Source organism: Homo sapiens, chromosome 5 (genome assembly GCF_000001405.40).
Source record: "Homo sapiens chromosome 5, GRCh38.p14 Primary Assembly".
NCBI lineage: Eukaryota > Metazoa > Chordata > Mammalia > Primates > Hominidae > Homo > Homo sapiens.
The window spans coordinates 91,353,659-91,358,121 of NC_000005.10; the positions used below are offsets into that span (position 1 = coordinate 91,353,659).

Genomic DNA, 4,463 nt, shown 5'->3' on the forward strand with positions numbered 1-4,463 from the left:
CCTCTGGCGAGTATTGGGTCATTTGCCCATCCTCAAACTATTCATGGTGGCCAAGGTGATAAGATTAAGCTAACCAAGGCTCACTGTTTATTAGCTCATACATACCTCAAGGCTAAAAGTTGTGGAGTAGGGAACACTATTACCATGAAGGAGGGGTACAAAGTTGGACAGAGACACCTATGTTAGAACTTATGCAATCAGGAAGAACCTTCATTAATTTTGATAATCCTCTCAGTTGCTATTTCACGTACAGAAACAAATACTTTTAGGGTTGCCCTTCCCTTTTCTTCACAAGGATGATTTTTTTTTTTTGAGATGGAGTTTTGTTCTTGCTGTGCAGGCTGGAGTGCAATGGTGCAATCTTGGTTCATCACAACCTCTGCCTCCTGGGTTCAAGCGATTCTCCTGCCTCAACCTCCCGAGTAGCTGGGATTACAGGTGTGCACCATCATGCCCAACTAACTTTTTATTTTTAGTAGAGATGGGGTTTCACCATGTTGGTCAGGCTGGTCTCGAACTCCTGACCTCAAGTGATCCACTTGCCTCAGCCTCCCAAAGTGCTGGGATGACAGGTGTGAGCCACCACGCCTGGCCAAAGGTGAAATTTTAATAGTAAAAGGAGAAGATAAGCAGCACTGGTAACACCAGCATCCCCACTTTCTTGTCTTTATCAGCTTGGGCTGTCATTACAAAACACCATAGACTAGTTGGCTTAAGCAACATGAATTTATTTTCTTCCAGTTCTGGAGGCTGGGAAGTTCTAGATCAAGGTGCAGGCTGTTTCCACAGGAGGCCTACGTGCTGCCACTGTGCTGCTGCCATGTCTCTAGTGATCCCTGAAAAGTTCCAGCGTATTTTGAGAGTATTCAAAACCAACATTGATGAGTGGTGTAAAATAACCTTTGCCATCACTGCCATTAAGGGTGTGGGTCAAAGATATGCTCATGTGGTGTTGAGGAAAGCAGACATCGACCTCACCAGCAGGGTGGGAGAACTCACTGAGGATGAGGTAGAATGTGTGATCACCATGATGCAGAATCCACACCAGTACAAGATCCCAGGCTGGTTCTTGAACAGACAGAAGGATGTAAAGGATGGAAAATATAGCCAGGCCCTAGCCAATGGTCTGGACAACAAGCTCCATGAAGACCTGGAGTGACCCAAGAAGATTTGGGCCCAAAGAGGGCTGTGCCACTTCTGGGGCCTTCATGTCCGAGGCCAGTACACTAAGACCACTTGTTACCGTGGCTGTACTGTGGGTGTGTCCAAGAAGAAATAAGTCTGTAGGCCTTGTCTGTTAATAGTTTATATACCTTAAAACAAACAAACAAAACAAAACAAAAAACGGTGCAGGCTGACTCAGTTCCCCAGTGAGGGCCCTCTTCCTGCCTTGCAGACTGCCACTTTCTTGGTGTGTCCTCACGTGACAGAGAGGCCAGATTTCCTTCTCTTTCTTCCTCTTTTTTTTTTTTTTTTTTTTTTTTTGAGATTGAGTCTCACTCTGTCACCCAGGCTAGAGTGCAGTGGCACTATCTCAGCTCACTGCAACCTCTGCCTCCTGGGTTCAAGCAATTCTCCTGCCCCAGCCTCCTGAGTAGCAGGGATTACAGGCATGTGCCACCACATCCGGCTAATATTTTTGTATTTTTAGTAGAGACAGGGTTTCACCATGTTGGCCAAGCTGGTCTCAAACTCCTGACATCAGGTGATCCACCTGCCTTGGCCTGCCTAAAGTGCTGGGATTACAGGCGTGAGCCACTGTGCCCAGCCTCTCTTCCTCTTTTTAATAAAGCCATAGTCCTATCAGATTAGGGCCTTACCCTATGAACTCATTTAACTGTAATTATCTCCTAAAGATTCTCTCTCCAGATACAATCACATTGTGGGTTAAGGCTTCAATATATAAATCTCGGGGGGACATAATTCAGTTGATATCAGTAACCGAAGTTACTGCCCAAGTATTTTTTGAGCATCTGTCTTAATCATTGCCCAAGTATTTTTTGAGCATCTGTTTTGTACTCAGCTTGATCCATGCATTGTGAGAGCTGAAGGGTTGGGTGGGAAGAAGTACAAAAGAAGTAACTAATATAGTTCCTGTTTTCAGGAGCTTATTGTCTTTTTGGGGAGGTAAGACCAATAGGTTGTAAATAAGAACAAATGCTGTGAGGTAGAGTGAATGCTGAGGGCACTCCAGAGTGACAGGAATCAATAAGGGTTGGAAGGGGCCAGGAAACTTTTATGTATTTATTTATTGAGATGGGGTCTTGCTTTGTTACCCAGGCTGTATTTTTTCATTTTATTTTGTTTTTTAACACAGTGTCTCGCTCCATCACCCAGACTGGAGTGCAGTGGCATGATCTTGGCTCACTGCAACCTCTGCCTCCTGGGTTCAAGTAATTCTCCTGCCTCAGCCTCCTGAGTAGCTGGGATTACAGGTGCATGCCACCATGCCCAGCTAATATTTGTATTTTTAGTAGAGGCAGGGTTTCACCATGTTGGCCAGTCTGGTCTCGAACTCCTGACCTCAAGTGATCTGCTGGCCTTGGCCTCCCAAAGTACTGGGATTTCGGGCATGAGCCACTGCGCCCGGCCCCAGGCTGGTTTTGAACCAGGCTCAAGTGATCCTCCTGCCTCTACCTCCCAAAGTGCTGAGATTATAGGCATGAGTCACCAGTGGCCGGCTGATCAAAAAAACTTCATGGAGGAGTTTGACACTTATTCTGGGTTTTTAGAATGGTTGGAAGGGAGTAAGGAGTGTGTGACAGGACAGAAACCTAGACCAAGAGAGTAGCAATGGTAATGGAGGGAAACGGGCCAAATACCATCTTGTTCTCACAGAAAACGGACTTTCTAATTGAGGCAGTGGAGTGAACGGGTGAAGAGAGTGGTTCCTTTAACAAAAATCAGAAATTCCAGGAGGGAAAGTATAGGGATGTGGTTAGATATATGAGGAAGGATGAGGAGTTCATTTTAGAAATATTTATTTTGAGAAACTGGAGAATTTACCAAGTAAAATAACTGTAATGATGTTAATAATAAGGGTAAAGAGATGAGTGAAAGTCGGACTGATGACAATAGATGTTTAAATCGTCACAGGGTTGATAATTTAAGCTGAGGGAATGAATGATCTTTTTGAGAAAATATGAAGAGTGATGTATGTAAGAAAAGACCTTAGAAACCATCACCATCACCAAGAAGGATCTAGCAATAGTTAATGGCGTAATAGCAGGAAACTATTGAAAATATAATGGATCCAGTTCTAATTTTCTCAGTTTATACATAGCATTTAGTGCTAAGTAAAATAAATGTTTGTTGATTGACTTGATAATTGAAAGAATGTTAGAAGTTTAAAATTCAAAAAGCCTAATGTGCATTAGGGATTTAAAGAAAAAAATATATACATACTATGTTATATATAAGTGTGTGTCTGCGTATATTTTAAATTTAGAGATGGGATTTTGCCATGTTGCCCAGGCTGTGAACTGCTGGGTTGCTTTTTCATTTGCTTGTTTGTTTTTTTTTTCAGGGATGTTTTGAAGTCAAACCAGTTTTTCCACTTCCGTTTAATTAAGTGTTTTGAGCATTATTTATTATTCATAACACTGAAGAAATGAAAAGCTGAAGAGATTCTCCCATCACATGAAAGGATTAATTAGTTCAGTTTTCAGAGGCGTCATCTGACCGTCAGACAGTCCAGGTACATTCACTGAGGCATTTCCAGTGGGCAAGGAGCCTGGGAGAGCACTGCGCTGCGACCTAGTTTTCCCTTTGGAATCAGGTCCTCTCTCCTGCGTTTACATTGGCCTCTCCCACCCCTTGGCAGGTCCACTCCCATTGACCTTTCTCTCTGTACCAGCAGCTGCTGCTGACAGTCCAGCCGTAGTTACTTCTGTGAAAACAGTGTGTAGTGGTCTGCCTTTAAATTTCCTATTCCCATCTGGACCTCCCTTAGGAGCTCAATGCTGCTCACAGTTGAACCTGAAATTCCAGGTCTTCTAATCTCTTCTCTCCAACTGGCAATATTTACCACTCTGATGTCTAGTTCTTGTGGAGTCTTGTTGTGGGATGCATGAATTTTATGCTAATGGGGTATTTCTGAAGACAAAGCCTTGGGTCAGATAAAAGGTTAATTGATATGTGTAGTGTGACAGTAAAATGCAAGGACTTTAAATTCCGACAATCCTGGATGTGGATTAGTTTTAATTTGACAGCTGTGTGATTTGAGACAGTTGCTCAATCTTTTTGTGAACGTTGTTTCCCCAACTAAAAAAAATAGACAAAATACTAATCTTTGAAAGTTGTTGTAAGGATTAATAAGATAATGTACATAAGGAGACCTTGCACAATACCTGGCATATTGTAAGAGCTTGATAGGACAATATTTATATGACATACCAAGAAAATATGTGTGCCATTTTCCACTTCCCAAATCACTTTACATGGGTTTAGAAAGGAGATTAAGA

General features: G+C 42.7%; 1 pseudogene; it reads left to right on the forward strand.

The window, feature by feature from the left end:
• RPS18P7 (ribosomal protein S18 pseudogene 7) lies at positions 782–1,315 on the forward strand (annotated as a pseudogene).